The sequence below is a fragment of the Homo sapiens genome, chromosome 4 (assembly GCF_000001405.40).
Source record: "Homo sapiens chromosome 4, GRCh38.p14 Primary Assembly".
Classification (NCBI taxonomy): domain Eukaryota; kingdom Metazoa; phylum Chordata; class Mammalia; order Primates; family Hominidae; genus Homo; species Homo sapiens.
The window spans coordinates 57,100,799-57,119,834 of NC_000004.12; the positions used below are offsets into that span (position 1 = coordinate 57,100,799).

General features: G+C 44.9%; 1 protein-coding gene, 1 long non-coding RNA gene and 1 other non-coding gene across 4 annotated transcripts in view, besides 1 other annotated feature; 1 reads left to right on the forward strand and 2 right to left on the reverse strand.

The window, feature by feature from the left end:
- Nucleotides 1–9,587, reverse strand: part of IGFBP7 (insulin like growth factor binding protein 7) — a 79,613-nt gene extending 70,026 nt beyond the window's left edge. For both annotated transcript variants that reach the window (NM_001553.3, NM_001253835.2), the window contains exon 1: nucleotides 9,079–9,587. In NM_001553.3, coding sequence (NP_001544.1) covers nucleotides 9,079–9,553 — 475 coding nt within the window. In that variant the 5' untranslated portion in view covers nucleotides 9,554–9,587. The remainder of the gene's footprint in view (nucleotides 1–9,078) is intronic.
- Nucleotides 5,445–5,547, reverse strand: LOC124900898 (small nucleolar RNA U13). The gene has a single exon (XR_007058540.1). It is a non-coding gene; the product is annotated as a small nucleolar RNA U13 (small nucleolar RNA).
- Nucleotides 8,964–19,036, forward strand: part of IGFBP7-AS1 (IGFBP7 antisense RNA 1) — a 95,538-nt gene continuing 85,465 nt past the window's right edge. The window contains exon 1 of the long non-coding RNA NR_034081.1: nucleotides 8,964–9,172. This is a non-coding gene — a long non-coding RNA (IGFBP7 antisense RNA 1). The remainder of the gene's footprint in view (nucleotides 9,173–19,036) is intronic.
- Nucleotides 9,656–9,725: a silencer, noted in NCBI's record as "silent region_15459". NCBI's record gives its function as "represses an Ori minimal core promoter by ATAC-STARR-seq in GM12878 lymphoblastoid cells {active_cell/tissue: GM12878}" and the evidence as "EXISTENCE:reporter gene assay evidence [ECO:0000049][PMID:35858748]".

A 19,036-nucleotide genomic window follows, 5' to 3' on the forward strand; every position in this document is an offset into this window, starting at 1 on the left:
GCTGGTCTACATACCACACTTTGAATAGCAAGCCTGTAGCAGAATATCTAAAGTAAGTACCAGAATTGCTATTTACCACCTGTGTGATGTCTGACCTGCAGTGTCTTTATTTGGAATTTGGGATAACAATTCCCCTTACCTTCCAGGGTTGTTATGAGTAGCATATGAGGAAAATCCACAGAAGTCCTTAGCAAACTGTCAAGTACTTCACAAATACCCGTTGCAGATGCATTCCTTGCCCTCAAGGCATTTACAGTCTAGTTAATAATTCTTTACAGTTATTTGGTGCAGCATAGTCCGCATAGTTTACACAGTGCTTTCATATCTGTTATGTAATTTGACCTTCTCAATAATCCTGTGAAGGTATGAAATTGTACCTTCATTTATTATATACATTCTCCTGAAGTTTTGAGGGGGTTGTTTTTTCACAGTGGCCAAGCCTGCTTTGAACCTGTCGGGTTGGCCTTGGCCTTGTCAGTGCTCTTTACTGTGGGAACTTCATATCATATGAATGGGGCTTTGTCAACACAGGGTTCCTAGGTCTGTTTCACCTGAAATGAACCTTTCTTATTTTTCAGACACAAAACTTCTCTGCAACTCTGGCCTGCTTTTGGGACCAGAGGCCCCTCCCTGGATTCCCGGGACTGCTCCTCTCCCTGGTAACCCTCTCCTGGTAGGGACATTGATGGGGGTGAGGCTTACTGTTAGCTCCAGCTGTTTCTAATTAACTTTGACTGCTCTCCTCTGTAAAACAGTAAAGGCAATTCAACACATTAGCTTTTTCAAAAGGGCCATATCATTTTGCCATTAATCCAACTTGGGATAAAACAGAGGTCAACTATTTAACACAATCAATTTTAAGTAAAAAAAATAAATAAGTAAACGTTTCCCCCCCTCCCCCCATTATCATCCTGGCTTTTTTCTTCTGATCTCATTTTCTCTCAGAGGCCTGGTGGAGGAGACGGTCTTGATTGACCTGGAAAAGCCATATATGACAGGCTGGGGGAAGCTTCCCTTGAACATTTCTAGTCCTCCACTGCTATCCCCACATAAGAGTAAAAGACTCACTGGGAAATCTTTGAAATTACCTTAAATAAGTGGGCTTATTAATTCACATATACCTAAGTCTCCTTCCATTTCAAAGCTTTCTAATTGTGCCACTCCTAAATTTCAAATAAAGGTTACACTCATATTCCCTGGCTTAAAAATTTTTTTGACGATAATTCAGGGTTCCCCAGCTGCTAAAAACAAGATGTTATTTGTCTAACAATGAAAAACACAGATGAGGTCAGATTGTTTGTGGGGTAGGGGTGGCTTGAGGTAAAGGAAGCATCATAATCTCATCCACTGTAGGGAGGAATTTTGAATCAGTGAAGGCTAGCTGGCCTTGGACTCCATCCAAGGGTGTTCTGTCACTGAACTATCCAAGAGAGCCTTATAAGGCGGTTTCTTCTAGAAGGCCAGTCTACAGTGGACCCCGAGGGCAGGCTCTAGGGACAGGATGGAAATCGTATTTCAGGATGTTAACAAATGCCTGCTCAGCTTAATCATTCCATCTCAAAGCTGTATAGTTTAAGAGATTTAAAAATTATAAAATCCTCCCCCAGATGTGGCCCCTCCCCCTCAAGTTATTTCTCAGCTCTCCTAAAGAGAGTCTCCTGACTTCTGCCTGAACACGGTATCCTATTCAATAGTTTTTACTGGAAAGTTCTTCCTGCTGTGTCATCTAAATGTGCCTTGTGGCTATTTAATTCCAGGCCTTTTAATGCTGTCCTCCTGAAGAACTGTATTAAGAGAATAATTTTTCAGGCATCTTCCATTTAATAACTAATTCCCAAACGATGAAGAAACATTAACTTGTTCTTTAGATTACTTTCCTCTGAAAGAATCCTAAGTCCTCTAAGGCCCCACTTTGTCCTTCAGTTTTTCAAATCTTTCCTAAAATGCAGTGATTGAAACTGGACAAAATGATTATAAAGAACCAGTGATTCATTCAATATTCTAGAAATTTCTGTGCTCAAGAAGGGCAGCTGAGGCCAGAAAAATTTTAAAGCATTTCTACTGGACTGGAGCAGACTCTTAGGGAAGGTGACTTTTTCTGTTTCTGATCTGAAAGCAGAGAGAAGGAGTAATAGGGACTTTAGGGGGAAGAGACTCCTGAAAGGAGCAAGTGGTGGTAATTTGGAGGCAGGACTGGCTAATAAGGCAAGCGAGGTGAAGGCACTTTATGAGCAGTCACCGAATAAGAAAAAGCTCCACAAGGGCTTTTCACTCCCAAGTAGCAAGCAGCTTGCCATGGCAGGCTGGGAACCCAGATTTGACAATGCTTCTAAGATCAGAGAGGGAAGTCTTGGGAAGGAGTGTAGGCATCTGTTGTTGTGATTACAGTAACAGCTTCCTTATGGGAGTCTCTGACTGCAGTCTCACCCCCTTCCAATCCATTCTCCCAACAGCAGCCAACAAAGCTTTTCTAAAAGCACAAATCCAGCTCCATCACTCAGCGCTCCCATTGCTCTGTGACAGCGTCTCAGCTCCTTAAGGGGTCACAGGCCCTCCCCTATCACTGGGCTCTGTCACGCAGCCAGCTGCCTCCTTCTCCCTAGGCAGTCCCACCAAACCTCATGCGAGTCCTTCTGCTGGCTATGCTCTGGTTATCTCCTTTCTCTTAAAAAATTGTTTTAACTGATAACTGAAAATTGTATATATATGGTATACAACATGATGTTCTGATGCATGTAGACATTTTGGAATGGCTAAATCAGGCTATTTAACATATGCATTACCTCATACACTTTTTTGTGTGTGTGGTAACAACATTTAAAGTCTATGATCTTAGAACTTTTCTTTTTTTTTTTTCTTTTCTTTTTTTTTTTTTTTTGAGGCAGGGTCTTGCCCTGTTACCCAGGCTGGAGTGCAGTGGTATGATCATGGCTCACTGCAGATTTGACCTCCTGGGCTCAAGTAATCCTCCCGCCTCAGCCTACCAAGTAGCTGGGACTACAGGTGTGTGCCACCACACCCAGCTAATTTTTTTATTTTTTTTATAGAGACGAGGTCTCACTATGTTGCCCAGGCTGGCAATTTTCAGGTATATAATATATTGTTATTAATTATAGTCATCATGAGGGACAATAGATCTCTTGAGCTTATGTCTCCTCTCTAACCAAACTTGTGTGTCCTTTGACCAACATCTTGCCAATCCTGTCCCCTCCTCCCAACCCCATCTCTGGTAACTGCTGTTCTATTTTCTGCTTCTATGAGTTTGACTTTTTTTAGATTCCACATATAAGTGAGATCACATAGCATTTGTCATTCTGTGCTTGGCTTTTTTTTCACTTAATATAATGCCTTCCAGGTCCCCTCATGTTGTGGCAATGACAAAGTTTCCTTCTTTTTAAAGGCTGAATAGTATTCTATTGTATATATACAGTGTTTTCTTCTCATCTCCCTTCTAACTCTACCACAACCTCTATGCTAGCTCTTCTCCACCCAATTCCTTCTTATCCCTGTCTCAGTCAGGACATCATTCTTCCACTAAGTGATTCTTGGCTTTTCCTCCACAAACCTGGGTCCCCTCCTCTGGCTCTCTGACAGTCCTCATGGTACTACTGTGTTAGTTTAGTGAAGTATTACACTGACTTGCACTCCCCCAAGATAAACCAGACAATTAACAACTTCATTTAATTTGAAACCCCTTTGTTTCAACTTTCAATGAAGTTCATACATTTACTGAAGGATAGTAGAACATGGACATTTAAATGATATATTATCAACATAAAAAATGAGTCTAATGAATCTAAAATGAGCTTCTCAAAGAATGGAGGTTTAAAACTCATCAAATAAAATGAGTACCTGAAAATCAAAATCTATACTGAAGCATTTTCCACTTACAGAACAGTTTCTATAGCTCTGGACCTAATTTTACTCGGCAAGGGGATATGGAAATGTTGGGATTTGGGGGGAAAAGTTACCATCCAATATTAGAGTTCAGGATTGCTGATGACAGAAAGGAAGGCAAATCAATGTCAGATGAATTCCCTGGCCTAGACTTTAGGAAGGCAGAAGATGCCAGGAGGAAAGAGAGCAGACAGGCAGGAGAGGGGCTTTCCTGCATTTCCAAACAGGAAGGTGCTTTCTTAAGAGGATTCCTTTGTTAATCAACAAATATTTATGATATGCCCAATTATTAGCCAGACACTGTGTTTATAAGGAGTTATAAGATGAAATCCCTCTTTTAAAATGGTTACAGTCTAGTGGGGAAGACAGACATTCAAAGAGCCCTTTTGTGGCAGTTGGGGAAGGTCTATAGTAGCCAACTTGTTCTCCACTCAGGGCCCAAGGCCTTGCTGTTCCCTTTGCTGAAATCCTCCCAAGCGTTCTTAGCATGGCTCTACTCACCTCACTTAATACTGCTCATTCATCTGGAGTCTCTAACCTATTTCTCCGATGTACACCCTTCACAGCATGTACACATTGTGTGAAAATATGTTTCCTTGTTTCTGTGTATCTTATTCAAGGCTACTTACCCTGAGATTAGGAGAGTGCCTAGCCAATTCATAGGTTGATTCATTCATTGATTCATGCATTAGACATGTGTTTAAAGAACATACTACATACCATGCACTTATCTAGGTCCTTGGGTCTGTCTATATGAGGGAGCAAAATCTCCCTTCCCACCTGGAGCTTACTTTGATGTTGAATAATGACAACAATTAATGTTCATCCACGCTTTCTATGGATAATATTCATGACATTTAATCTTCATGACAACCCTATGAGATAGATAATGGTTATAATCCCTGTCTTATAAGTGAGGAAAACCCTGGGCAGACAGGTCAAATAACTTGCTCAAGGCTATAGTTAGTAAGTGGTCAAGATTCACACCAAGGGAGTCTGGCTTGAGAGCTCCTCATCTTAACTTCTCTGCTATACTGCCTCTTATATACAGATACACAGTACACGTGGAATAAATATTAGTTGAAACAATGGCTGGATGCATAGCTCTAGAAGAACAAATACATCATTTTGGGGTGGGGGAAAGTCAGAATGCTTCTCAGAGAAACTGACAGAGCTGATCCTTGAAGGCTAGGTAACAGCCCATTTTTTAAATTTTTTTTTTTTTTTTTGAGATGGAGTCTTGCTCTTTTGCCCAGGCAGGAGTGCAGTGGTGCTATCTTGGATCACTGCAAGCTCTGCCTCCCAGGTTCACGCCATTCTCCTGCCTCAGCCTCCCGAGTAGCTGGGACTACAGGTGCCCGCCACCACGCCTGGCTAATTTTCTGTATTTTTAGTAGAGACGGTGTTTCATTGTGTTAGCCAGGATGGTCTCGATCTCCTGATCTCGTGATCCGCCCGCCTCGGCCTCCCAAAGTGCTGGGATTACAGGCGTGAGCCATGGCGCCTGGCTGCCCATTTTTAAAATTTTTATTATTATTTTTCTTTCATGTCAGACAGGTAATGTGCCAATGTCATAAAAGGTTTGGGGGCGACATACCTCACACATGTGTATGAACACTCAATCATCATGCTTATGAACTACAAAAGGATCATAGGCAAGAGTTCAAAGGATGGAAAGGAAGTGAAGGAGGGTGCAATTGTGGTGAGTGTGGAGGTGAGAGGCGTTGCAGGCAGAAGGCACAACTTCTACAGAGGCATGAAAGCATAGAGACATATGTGCTGAAGTGTGAATAGCAGACACTTACTGTGGCTAGTGCATAAAGGAGGTTGGAGAGAAGAGGTCAAAATAATAGAATGGAGTTATATTGTGAAGGGCCTGTTATGTCCTGCTAGGTAGTTTGAACTTGGTCCTAAAGGTACTAATAAGGGAGACCCTTAAGAATGACATTCTGATTCCAGAAGTGAAAATTAATTCTGAGGGAGAAAGGATGGTACCTAATGAGACCAAAGCGGCTGAAATGGGATTGCCAAAGAGCTCAGATTTAAAAGACTTTGAACAAAAGGTATAATCAGTAATTGGAATACAGAAGCATCATGTTCTCTTCCAACTATGAAATTTTATTATATATCTTAGCTTCTTTGTATCAACTTCTTTTTATTAAATGGAATCTTCAAATTCCCCCTTCTGGTTATCCATGACTTCAGGGACCTCAATACAATCTAATGGCAGTAAATTCATAATGACAGTTCCAAGATTTGAAATTATTTGCTGATTATCTTTCAGACATATTTTCAAGCAGATCGCTTTGCCTCCTACCAGAGAGGTATGGAAAACAAGCAGACCAAGATCTCTTCCCAGTTGGGTAAGTGGTGATCTTAGAAAGGAGGAAGACTGGGGCAAGCTCCAGGGCTCCAGGGCAAGTGCTCTGGGAGGTGAGTTTGTAACTTGTACAGATACTTTCTTAATCAGCAACATCAAATCTGTTTTGTACATCCCTGGTATATAGCACCTAGTACAGTGCTGACTCAAGTTAGCTGCTCAATAAATGCATGTTAAATGGAACCAAAGACCAGAGGGCAGATTGAATCACACCATTGTGGCTGAATCCCACAATGCTGCCCCTACCTGGCCCCTACTCAAGTTATACTCAAGCATAACTTAAGTTTCTTCTGAGAATAGAAGGGAACCTAGAGGTCTAGAGGAACCTAGACAATGCATTTCCTATTCTGTGCAAAGCCCCAGTATGAAATGGCACAGAAGTAAATGGCACTCTGTCCAGTTTGCTTCTATGATTGTCAAAACCCATCCAGGTGTCAGAAGAAATATTTAGGGGATGTGATAGGGATCAGTCTATTGTCTCTGCTGTGGAAAGTTTCTGCTGTGGGAAAGGCTTCCCATTCTCTTCTGCTCTCTTTGGCATTCTCCTATAAATGGTCTCTGCCATTTAGAACTCATCTCTCTCAATTTAGGATGAGAAGAAATGGCTAATTTAAGTCAAGGTTTCCAGTTTTAGATGCTGTTTTCTCTAACATTTCCCCAAATATAAAGAAAAGCCGGGCCGGAACCCTCAAAGGGTTTGCAGTCTGGAGAGGTACTGAGCTGGGTGTACATGGTAATGAGGTTATGAAACTGGTTCTATATGACTGTCAGTCTCAATATTTTATAATCAGACTGTGTGAGTGTTTGGTGATGTAAGTAGCAGGTGAGAAAAAGGAATATTAAGTATAAACTAGAAATTGACAACACTTGAACAATCACCAAGCTAACCTTCTGCTCTGATAAGGCAAGTATCTGCCATTTTGAAAAAACTATAAAGTTCCCCATTGTAATGTTTATAAGAAAATCTCAATATTTGGAATAAATTCTTAAATAACGCACATTTATCTTTTCATGATGTGACCGACAAATGAGATCCAAAGTAACAAATAACTGTTTCTATTGTAAACATATGCAGATTATTTTGGGTTGCAATTTTCTAAGTTTAAGGTGATGATACTATAAATAGTTACTAGTGAGTTACACAATTTAAGGCTTTCAATAGTGAACTCTGAAATTGATGACATACAACCTATTAGTTTGTGGACTTCTGGGAAAAGCTCTAAAGAAAGAATTTGGAAATTCTGGAGAAAGTCTGAACTGTGTTAAAGAAGCAACAGCTTCTGTAACCTCAGAACTGCCTCCTCTCCCTTTTCTACCTTGGCTAAGATCAGGAGCTGCCAACATTGAATGTCTGACTTTCCCTTGAAAATACTGCCAATGGAAAATGTTATTTCAGGCATTAGAGTTAAAATTTCTATGTGTGTGTGTATGTGCGTGTATTTGCAAGTCCAGACTTTATTTTCTTCTTTCTTTCTTTTTTTTTTGAGATGGGGTCTCTGTCTGTCACCCAGGCTGGAGTGCTGTCATGTGATCTCGGCTCACTGCAACCTCCGCCTCCCAGATTCAAGCGATTCTCCTGCCTCAGCCTCCTGAGTAGCTGTGATTACAGGCATGCACCACCATGCCCAGCTAATGTATATATATATATTTTTTATTAGAGATGGGGTTTCACCGTGTTGGTCAGGCTGATCTCGAACTCCTGACCTCGTGATCTGCCCATCTTGGCCTCCCAAAGTGCTGGGATTACAGACGTGAGCCAACCCACCCGGCCTATTTCCTTATTTCATTTACAGCAAGCTTGGACTTGTTTGGAATAAAATAAACAATCAAACATAATCTCAAAGACATTTCTGCTGAACAGTGTATCCTGGGGACAAATTATGCAAAACAATACAAATCAAAGAAATAGGAAGGAAAAACAAAATGGTCAGAAGGTTGACAACAAAGTGCATCACAAAAACAGTCTTCAAAGAGTTTGTATTTTATTTTTGCCCACAAATAATTAGCTAGTTAGATTACTGTTTGAGAACCTATAATTTTTAGAAAGTGGACTATTTTCTTCAATACTAAGAAATCAGGGCTGTGCACGGTGGTTTATGCCTGTAATCCCAGCAGGCCGGGATTACTTGAGCTCAGGAGTTCGAGACCAGCCTAGGCAACATAGTGAAACTCCGTCGCTATAAAACAAAACAAAACAAAACAAAAAACCAAAAATTGGCCAGGCGTGGTGGCACAGGCTTATAGTCCCAGCTACTTGGGAGGCTGAGGCAGGAGGATCGCTTGAGGCAGAGGTTGCAGTGGGCCAAGATCGTGCCACTGCCCTCCACCCTGGGCGACAGAGCAAGATCCTATCTTTTAAAAAAAAAAGTCTGTCTGGAAGTCCTTACTTTATATTTAATTGTCAAACTCCTTTCCCCCATCTCTTGACTTCACCTCTCTCTACATCCCCAAGCCAAGAATGATGAGAAATGGACAGATGTTAGCACGAGTTGGGTGCGCTTTGGGCATGGGGAAGTCTGAGGTCTCGGAAAATCTTTTCTACATATACACCCGGCCCTCACTTTCTGGACGCACGCAGCAAACTCTCAAAATAAAACCACCAAAAAGGAGAAGGGGGGGCGTCGCCCACCGCTCCTGGCATTCCGCGGCTGCCAACTCTTTCCCTCCCATCTGGCTCCTGGGATGCCCGCGGGGGAATCGCAGTGAGCAGCGCGGGGCGAGGCCGCCGCGGACGCCCCGTCGGATGTGCCCTTCGCTGGGCCGAGCGGCGCAGGGTTGGAGAGGGAAGCGCTCGTGCCCACCTTGCTCGCAGGTGCCCTTGCTGACCTGGGTGATGGCCTTCTCCCCGCGGCTCTCGGCCCTCTGGCTGGCGGCGCGCAGCTGGCAGCCGCTCGGGTAGGTGGTGCCGTCGCTGCCGCACACCGGGTAGCGGCTCTTGCACACGCACACGCCGCTTACACCCGGACCGCCGGCTGCTGCCCCGGCTTTACCCTTCCGCCTCTTGCGGCTCTTCACGCACTCCATGCCCGGCGCGCAGTACCCCCTGCCGGCGCCGCCACCCCCGCACGGCTCGCCCTCGCCGCGGGCGCACATAGGGCAGCAGCCGCACGCGTCGCGGGTCTCGCCCAGCAGGCAGCCCAGCGGGGGCAGGGGCGGGCAGGAGGCCGGCTCGCAGGGGCCGCAGGTGTCCGAAGAGGAGGAAGAGGAGAGGGGCAGGAGCAGGAGCAGCAGCCCAGCGGCGCCGAGGAGCAGGGCGCGCAGCGACGGCCGCTCCATGGCGGGGTGCGGTGGCAGCGGCAAGGGCGCGAGTGAGCCGTGTCGGGCCGGCCGGCGCCTTAAACCCGCCGCCCCGCCCGGCCTGTCCGCGGGAACCACACCCCGGGGCGGTGAGAGCACGGGGGCCCCGCCCGTGCCGCCCTCCCGGCCCCGCGGGGCCTGCGCGCGCGCTCCTGCTGGCGTCGGGGGGTGAGCGGGCACCCGGCGTGACCGGCCCATGGGCGCTCGGTCTCACGCCCGCTTCGCAGAGCTCACCCCGCCAGCTCCTGCTCGGTCCCCAGTCCCCTGCCCCGAGCCCTCAGGGATCGCACCGCAGTGCGAGCGGCTCTTCCACCCTCTGGTTTCTCCCCGTTTCCGGTCAATATATTTAAACTTCTTAACAACCACGGCTTCGAGACGATCCAGGGTTTCATCTATTAAATCCTCCGTGGGCCTGAGACACCTGAGTGCTCATTACTCTGTGGTTTGGGAAGCTCTCTTAAGAACAAGCTGTTAAAAACCCCCACTTGTGGACTGTGTCCCCGCTGGCCACAGGCCTGCTGTGGTCTTGGGTGTCAAGCACTAAAAGGACAAACCGTTGCCAACCACTTCCCTTTCTGGAACCTCTTAACTGCCTGCACCTCCCTCCCCGCTTTGTCTCCCAGTGGCATTCAACAAGACTCTGTGCTTTTTTTGTGCTGAGCCGTTTTCAGTGAGTACTGGAATCCGTGTGAGAGCTGTGCCCTTGTTTTGAGTTCTTGCTGAACTGCTCGCCCTCCAGCAAGCCTCTCGGGAGAACAGAGCGCAGCTGAGAGGAGCAGGGGTCCCAGCTCCTTCCTCGTTGGAGCTGCCACGGAGGCACCTAAAGCGCCCCCAGTCTTCACCAGCATTCCAGGAGGTTTTTGATATAAACGGTGGACTCTTCCTCAGTCTTTCTGCGAAGTGCTCTGCAAACTCAACTTGAAAGCCTCTCTTCCCAGGAACACTGGCCTCTCCAATGCAGACATGGAAGTTGCTTTCACTTTTTAACTGAATGTGTAACATTGCAGCGTGCATTATTCTGCATGTCACATTGTGGTTCTTTTGTGTTCTTTTTTCTTAGCATAAATCCAGGGATTTACAGGGTTGCTGACTGAAAGCCAGCAGTTCAGTTCATAATCCCATTAGCAGTGTAAAGAACTCATTCTCAACAGACTCTTACAAGGATAATTATTGCAAATTTTTTGAAAATTAAATGACCACAAAATCGGGGGGTGGAGAGTGGGGAAACATCCTCCAATCCAGAAAAACCTAGCACTGCTTTTTGGCCTCTCCTTAGTGTATTATAGACAAGTGGAGCATTTTTTTTCCCCTCAAAGGTCATATGTTGACCTGACAGTTGTTTAAAAAACAATGAAAAATCTTTACAGCAGAGTTTCCCTAAATATTTTTGTCTTTGTTCCATCCTAAGAGATGCAGTTTACATGACCCATTTGTTTTCTTGAAAAGGAAACAAATGCAGAGTGCACTCTATTTCCTATTGTATTTAATTTCTTTCTTTCTTTCTTTTCTTTTCTTTCTTTTTCTTTTTTTTATTTTTTTGAGATGAAGTCTCCCTGTGTCGCCTAGTCTGGAGTGCAGTGGTGAGATTTTGGCTCACTGCAACCTCTGCCTCCCAGCTTCAAACAATCCTTCTGCCTCAGCCTCCCGAGTAGCTGGTATTACAGGCATGCACCAACATGCCCGGCTAATTTTTGTATTTTTACTAGAGACAGGGTTTCACCATGTTGCCCAGGCTGGTCTCAAACTCCTGACCTCAAGTGATCCACCTGCCTCGGCCTCCGAAAGTGTTGGGATTACAGGTGTGAGCCACTATGCCCGGCCCTGATTTCCTTTTTATTAATTCACTGGTCAAGAGCCACTAAATTGGTTCCATGATCTAGTATGACGATCTGTCATAGTTTTAGATTCTCCAGAAGCTTTCTCTGAGACAAGGATTCCAGTGCAAGTAGGTCACCTGAGAAGCCACATCAGGACACAGAGATTGAGGGTTGGGGCAGGCAGGTGAGCAAGCAGGAAGGGAAGACAGCCAATAAAGGTGCTTATCTCCGCAGCCAGAAGAAGCCCTCAGGCTCTACAAACTGTGTGTGTGTGTGTGTGTGTGTGTGTGTGTGTGTGTGTGTTTGCGTGTGTAGGGCATGTGGGTGGGCAGTGGCAGCAGCTGTACACTAAGAGCTGTCACCCACAGTGTGTGGAGGTCCTGCATCAGAGCCAACAGTGAGAATGCAAGCATGTGCTACAGCGGAGTCCCTTTGAGGAACCTCCTCACTGCCCAGCAAGCAAAGAAAACAAGCAAGTTTCTGGTCACTGAAAGGGGAACCCGAGCTCTGTGATAGTGCCAGTCGAGCTGGAGGACCTGAAAACAAGAAGAGATGTTAGAAAAAAGGCAGGTGAATGGAGCCTTTAAAGAGCAAGTTGACAACTCCACCCTTCCAATAACAGATATATTGTCACCTGTTCAGCTTCAGTTTTAGTGAGGTGGAGAGGCTGGATGTGGAGATGGAGATATTTTTACTTCTTCCTGTTTAATTGGTGCCTTTTGTTTCTTTTTCTTGCTTAATTGCCCTGGTTAGAACCTCCAGTATAATGTTGAATAGAAGAGGTGAGTGGACACCCTTGTCCCAGTCCTCACCTTAGAGGGAAAGTTGTTAGTTTTTCACCACTAAGTATGAAGTTAGCTGTGGGCATTTCATAGACAGTCTTACCAGGTTGAGGAAATTCCTTTCTATTCTGTTGATTGTTTTTCATCATGAAGTGGTGTTGAATTTTCTTTTCTTTTCTTTTCTTTCTTTTTTTTTGAGACGGTGTCTCGCTCTGTTGCCCAGGCTGGAGTGCAGTGGCGCAATCTTGGCTCACTGCAACCTCCACCTCCCGGGTTCAAGCCATTCTCCTGCCTCAGCCTCCTGAGTAGCTGGGATTACAGGCACATACTACCCCGCTCAGCTAATTTTTGTATTTTTAGGAAAGACTGGGTTTCATCATGTTGGTCAGGCTGGTCTCGAACTCTTGACCTCGTGATCCGCCTGCCTCAGCCTTCCCAGAGTGCTGGAATTACAGGTGTGAGCCATCACGCCTGACAGAGAGTACATTTTAAATGTTCTTGCCTCAAAAATGATAAGTATGTGAGGTAAAGAATATGTTACTTAGCTTAATCTAGTCATTCCACAATACATACATATATAAAAACATCATGTACACTGTAAATATACACAATTTTTTGTGAATTAAAATTTTTTTAATGTTTAAAAAGAATCATTCCTGCTTTCTGAGAGCACCCCATCCATAGCAACCTCCTGCTTCCTTAGACCTTCCCCTAAATTACTCAACCAAAGTCCAAATCCTATAATAGGCTCTTTCTAACACCCCCTTACTGAGACCCCCATAGTTCCATATGGTGTCTATCCTCCCTTGCTACAATGAGTGATAAACTCAACTTATTCAACTACAGGTGCATTCCTGTGATCTTTGGCTGAAGGGTAATGATGCAAGAGATATATGTCCCCCTCCCTTCTACACTACTTCAGCTCAATATTCCCCCAGCCCACAGGACACTCCCAAACCCTTTGCCGATGGGTCCTTGTACCTGGCGAGCACCCTTCTTGGTGGAGTATCTCTAAGACTACTCAGTCTGGCAAGTTTCTTGATATCTGTGGGAAACCCGTGGTGCTGTGCAGCCTGCCCCTGTGAAGTCCCTCTATGTCCAGCCAGTACAGGGCCAGAAGCCAGCCTGCCTATTCAGGAGACATCTAATTGGACAACGGAATGCTTGTCTCTTTTTCTTGCAAACATCACAGACCTCTTGGCTCCGTTATCCTTGTCTTCTTAGGAGTTGGGGGTGGGGCGGTGATTAAGGGGAGGAGAAACCTGCTTTCTCCAGTAAGCTCTCACCCCAAACCTGTTTATATGTGCCTGTGTGTGTGGGGGGGTGGGGGGATGGTGTGTGGGGCTTGTGGTGCTTGTGGCAGGGACATGTAGCATTGAGGAGCATTCTGGTTCAATTTTTTTTTTTTTTGAGACAAGGTCTTGCTCTGTCACCTAGGCTAGAGTGCAGTGGTACAATCATAGCTCACTGCAGCCTCAAATTCCTGGGCCCAAGCGATCCCCCTATTCAGCCTCCTAAATAACTGAGATTACAGGTGCATACCACCATACCTGACTATTAATAATTTTTCTTTGCTTTTGTAGAGACAGAGTCTCATTATATTGCTCAGGCTGGTCTCCAACTCCTGATGTCAAGTAATCCTCCTGCCTTGGCCCCCCAAAGTGCTGGGATTATAGGCATGAGCCACCACACCTGGCCCTGGTCCAATTTTTGGTGGCTCTGCTTTAGAATGTGGGGACACGCAGAACCTATAGTTTTGGGTTGTAGATCCTAGTGCCATTTTTTAGGCAAAGGAAGAGTTGTTCTATTCAACAGTCTGTTACAATAGTTATCTATCATCTTTATTATTTCATTTTTTTCTCCTTTCTCTCCTTCATCGTTATCACCATTAGTAAGTCAGAGATTGTCAGGTGATGGGGTAGGGTGTATCTGATCACCCAAACTCGGATAAACAGTGCATGAAAAGGGGCTAAGCCAGTGGAAACCACTTTGGCATGTTCCAGCTGCCACAAGAAGTTCAGCTTAGCTGAAGCAAGGTGAGTATGTGGAGAAGTGGGAAGAAATGAGTCTGGAGAGAGGGCAGATGACAGATAATGAAGGGCCTTGCACACTGCACCCAGAGCTTTGGACTGCATCTTATAGATGACTGTGAACTGTTGAGGGGTGCAGGGGAGAGGCAAGGTCAGGTTGTGGTGTTGGAAGGTCATTACAGAAGTAAGAGGGAAATGAATCATAACAGGGACAGACTTGAAGAAGGAATGCAGTTTCCACAATGCAGGGGCTACAGTCAGCCTATGCTGTTCCTTTATGGTAATTAAAAAAAACCACCTCTACTGGGCAGATGCAGCACTGAGGGTTCAAGACTTGGCAAGCAGGTGGTTGCTTTGTGTGAAGAAAAAGGCGTCCCTTTCTCCGATGAAGCAGACCCAGTCCACATGAAGATGCGTGGCCCAGCAGGTGGAGAACTGAATTATAGTTTTCCTTGCTCCCTGGGCTGGGTGCCCTTGTGCAGTATGCAAATTGCATGCCCCTACCGGGGAGCGTGGCCTCATGCTAATAGTGTGTCTGGTACAGAATTGGCAATCAATTAAAATTTTTTTTCTTTTTTTTTTTTTTTTTTTTGAGTTGGTGTTTTGCTCTTGTCACCCAAGCTGGAGTGCAGTGGTGCAATCTCGTCTCACTGCAACTTCTGCCTCCCAGGTTCAAGCGATTCTCCTGCCTCAGCCTCCTGAGTAGCTGGGGTTACAGGTGCCCACCACCATGCCTGGCTAGTTTTTGTATTTTTAGTAGAGATGGGGTTTCACCATATTGGCCAAGCTGGTCTCGAACTCCTGACCTCAGGTGATCCACCAACCTCAGCCTCCCTGATGGTATTACAAGCATGAGCCATGGCGCCCGGCCGATTAAAAAATTTTAAAAGTAAATGGACCAAAGGGAAAATCAATTGGCAGCTCCTACTGCCAACTACTACTACCATCCAGGTAGGAATTAGCAAGGGCCTGAAGTCAGTTGTGGCAATGGGAGTCGAAGTAGAGACAGTATCATTTGTCTATACCTGGACTCTTGTGAGTGAAAGGGAGCACTGTTCATGATTATGCTGGGACAATGGGCATAAATCAAGACTGTCCTGGACAATAGAGACATATTGTTACCCGAAATAGAGATGAAGAGATGGACAAGAGATCTTAAAGAAGTAGAATATGCAGGTCCTGTAAAGAAACTGACTGGAGGAAAGTCAAGAGAAACCCCAACATTTCTCCCTTGGGGGACTCGGTGCCAGTCTCTGCCACAGCCAGTTTGTGTTGGGGGAAGAGGATGAGCTTGATTTTGGACTCGTTCTTTACAAATCAAGACTGCCTTTTGTGGACAGTTCTGGAGAGGAAGGAGGGGGGCTCCCTAGCGATCATATCACATTGTATCAGAGGCATTGCAGGGCATTTGGCTGAGAGTAAGCCCTTGAGGTAAAGTCCCTCACTGATAACATCTCACTGTGTAATAAAGGACATAAACTGATTTCTTATCAGTATTCTGCATCTCATCTCTTAAAAGAGGTACTGCCATGCAGGAAAATAGCTAATTATATAATTGAAAAGGCATTAATAGCCTGTAAAATTCAATATTAGAGACACAGAACTTGAAGGACTCGCTAGAGGTCATTTAAAGCCAGGTGACTGGATCCATTAGCCCTGATCCTAAGTCATCAGGGGCACAGAAATATCTAAAGAACCCTCAGAAATCATCAAGGAAGATTTTTTTTTTTGTGTGGTCAGTCTTGTGTTCTGCTCTGTTATTTAACTGCCTTTCACATCAGGAAGATTTGAGGTCACTGCATAATAGCCAACTTCCAAATATACACAGTTGAAAAGAAAATTTAGATTTTAAACTGTGATCCTGACTATATTGCATATATCATGAGAGGCTTTTGAACCCAGAATAGCCTCATTTCCTGTCTTAAAATTCATTATCTTAACACTTTAACTTTGCATTAACACAGACTTTTACATTTACATTTCCCTGTAAAATAAATTAGAAAACATTTCTTTTTGTGACAACAAGTAGAAAAAAATGTCTTTGGGTTATTCCATAATTAGGCTTCATCTTTCTTTTGTTATGGGGAAATGATATGATCATTTGGTGGCAAATGATGCAGTGCCCCATATTAATCTCCCAGTGGCCCGATTTCATAATTCAACTTGGCAAAGTAGACAAATAAAAAATAAAAATCTCTCCTCATCATCGTAAGAGGCTCGGGAGAAAGTCAAATCAGGAAAAATAAAATATTTTCAGTGGTTTTTTCAGACTTCACTATGAATAAAACTTTGTGCCCAGGAAGGAGTTTCTTGGGTGTTTTTGAATGTTTAGGAGGATATTTATCCTGCAAGCATTGATTCCTTTCCTTCTGAACAGATGATCAGCTGGGATGTTAAGATGTTAACAACATTTCTTTCATGCATGCTAGTTTGTTTTATTTTGTTTTAGCTTGTTAAGATGTTAGAATAACTACATTCCTTTCACCGATGCTGAAGATTCACCTTTTTAAGAAAGAGTCACTGATCACATGAATGACATAGATGTTGCTTTATCTGCCTCTGCAGTGCAGCTACCTGGCTGGTGTCAGCCTCTTGGGTGAATAACAGGCGAATTTCAATATTGTCAGAGTCTATAGCTGTCAAGCTTCAGATCTAACTTCCTTAATGCTAAGCCACTTCCCTGTGTAGTGTCTTCTCATAACATCATTGCTTATTGGTAATGCTTGCTTTAAAAGAGAAATGTGGATGTGTCCGAATAGAGGAAATCCTGGAAAACTTTAAGTCCCTCTTCTTTTTGATTCTTGTTGAGTGGCATTCTCTCAGGCCATTTGAGTATATTCCCATGCCTTATTGAGAAATAGCATTTTTAGGTTTTCCCTGAGGTTCAAAGGTTAAATATTTGTCCTCATGTTACATAAAATTGGGTCCTGGAAGCCCATGTGACACAGTAGAGATGGTGATTGGCTTGAATGTCAGGGTCTTCAGGAGCAGGGCAGGTTCCCTGTGGCTTTCTTACAGCAGGGCAAGTGATTTGGGAATGAGATATTCAAGAGACAGGAGGGAAGATACAATTTCAAGAGGAAGGAACAAGTGTCTTTGGGCTGCAGTAAAATCTCTAGCGTTCTGTGTGTGGTTCCTGGTTTCAGGAAGGAATGGGGCAGGTTAGGGCATAGCTGAGGAGTGTAGTGGGGGCTTGCATGGCCTCAAAGGGTCAGAAGTAGACCCAACTGAAGGTCCTGTTATCCTGGTAGATCTTCAGTGAGAGGTTTAGGAGGGGCTATGTGGTGGCAATGATGCCTGTGTAGGAAAACCTCCTACCTCTTTAGCCATTGAAATGAAGAGATGGACATCCAGAAGTCTAGGAAAATTGGCTTAATGCAAGAAAGCAACACTTTCCAGCTTTATGTGCCTCTCAGAACTCATCTTGCTAAATCTTTTTGGGTCACTTGCAAACACAATTGGTAATTCTATACCAATTGTGTTTGCAAGAAGAGGATAATTCGTGACTGAATAAAAGCTATTCTCAGGCATAAGGCCGAGTGTGGTGGCTTACACCTGTAATCCCAGCACTTTGGGAGGCCAAGGCAGGTGGATCACCTGAGGTCAGGAGTTTGAGACCAGCTTTGCCAACATGGTGAAACCCTGTCTCTATTAAAATACAAAAATTAGCCGGGCTCGTTGGCACGCACCTGTAGTCCCAGCTACTTGAGAGGCTGAGGCAGGAGAATTGCTTGAACCCTGGAGGTGGAGGTTGCAGCGAGCAGAGAGCACACCACTGCACTCCAGCCTGGGTGACAGAGTGAGATTCTGTCTCAAAAAAATAAAAAAGTATTCCTAGGTGTGAATGCACCAAACCAATTAGAACATACATCATTCTTAATCTGGGCCTCTTGCAGCAGCTCTGGTCAATTGAGGGTTTATACTCAGATAAATATCATTGAGTTATCACGCCCTGTTTAATGAGAAGAATGCCAGACTTCTTATAATTCTTCATAAAGCCATTACCAACCTGCCCTCTGTGTGCCTCACTCGATCCCTGTCTTTGACCTCCTGATGTGCCAAGTTGAATGACTTTCGGTCTCCCAGAATAGCCGTCCTCTTTAGATGTCTCACATGTGATTTCTTCTTTCTGGAATTCCCTGGGAAGACAGCTTTTACCTCATCCCAAGCCTCTGTTTTCTTTAGGAATACAGCCTTGCCTCCTCTGCCCACTTCCCTTCTGGGAGTTGTCTTGCTATTGAGTTCCAGCCAAGTCTAGAATCCTGTCTGACGCCACTCCTCTCTGTGTAGACGTCTGCCCAGTGTCTGCCCCGGAAGTGCAGCTCCCTCTCTCTGAGCCGCTCTGAGTTTGGTTGCTGTCTTGGACTGCTTTCACTTGTCCCTGTTGTATTCTCCACAAACATGTCCACATGCCAGGCTGAGCTCTTTCTTCCACTGCTGTAGCGGGCTCGTCCCACAGAGCTTTATTCCTCCCAGTGAGCCCCTCACATCCTAGCTTCAGGCCTTTCCCAGCCCATCTGGCCACCCACTGCCTTTGCTAAGCCCTTTCTCTTTCCCTGAGGGCTTTTAGGGTAGGAAGAAAAATAAACTCTATGACTGGATTCATTTGGAATTTGGCTGTCAGAGTCATGTTCTCTTCTTTTGGGTCTATTTAAAAAGCATCCAGCGCCCATGGGAAGCAATAACCCTTCCCAAAGGGCTAAGGCAATCTGCTCCGACCCCCGGAGCATCCTTCCTCATCCTTCACATCTCAGAGCAGACATCGGTCTCTGCTGGAAGAGTCTTTCTAACCTTCAGGTCTCACAGAGGTCTCCCATGCCCCTCACTCAGTGC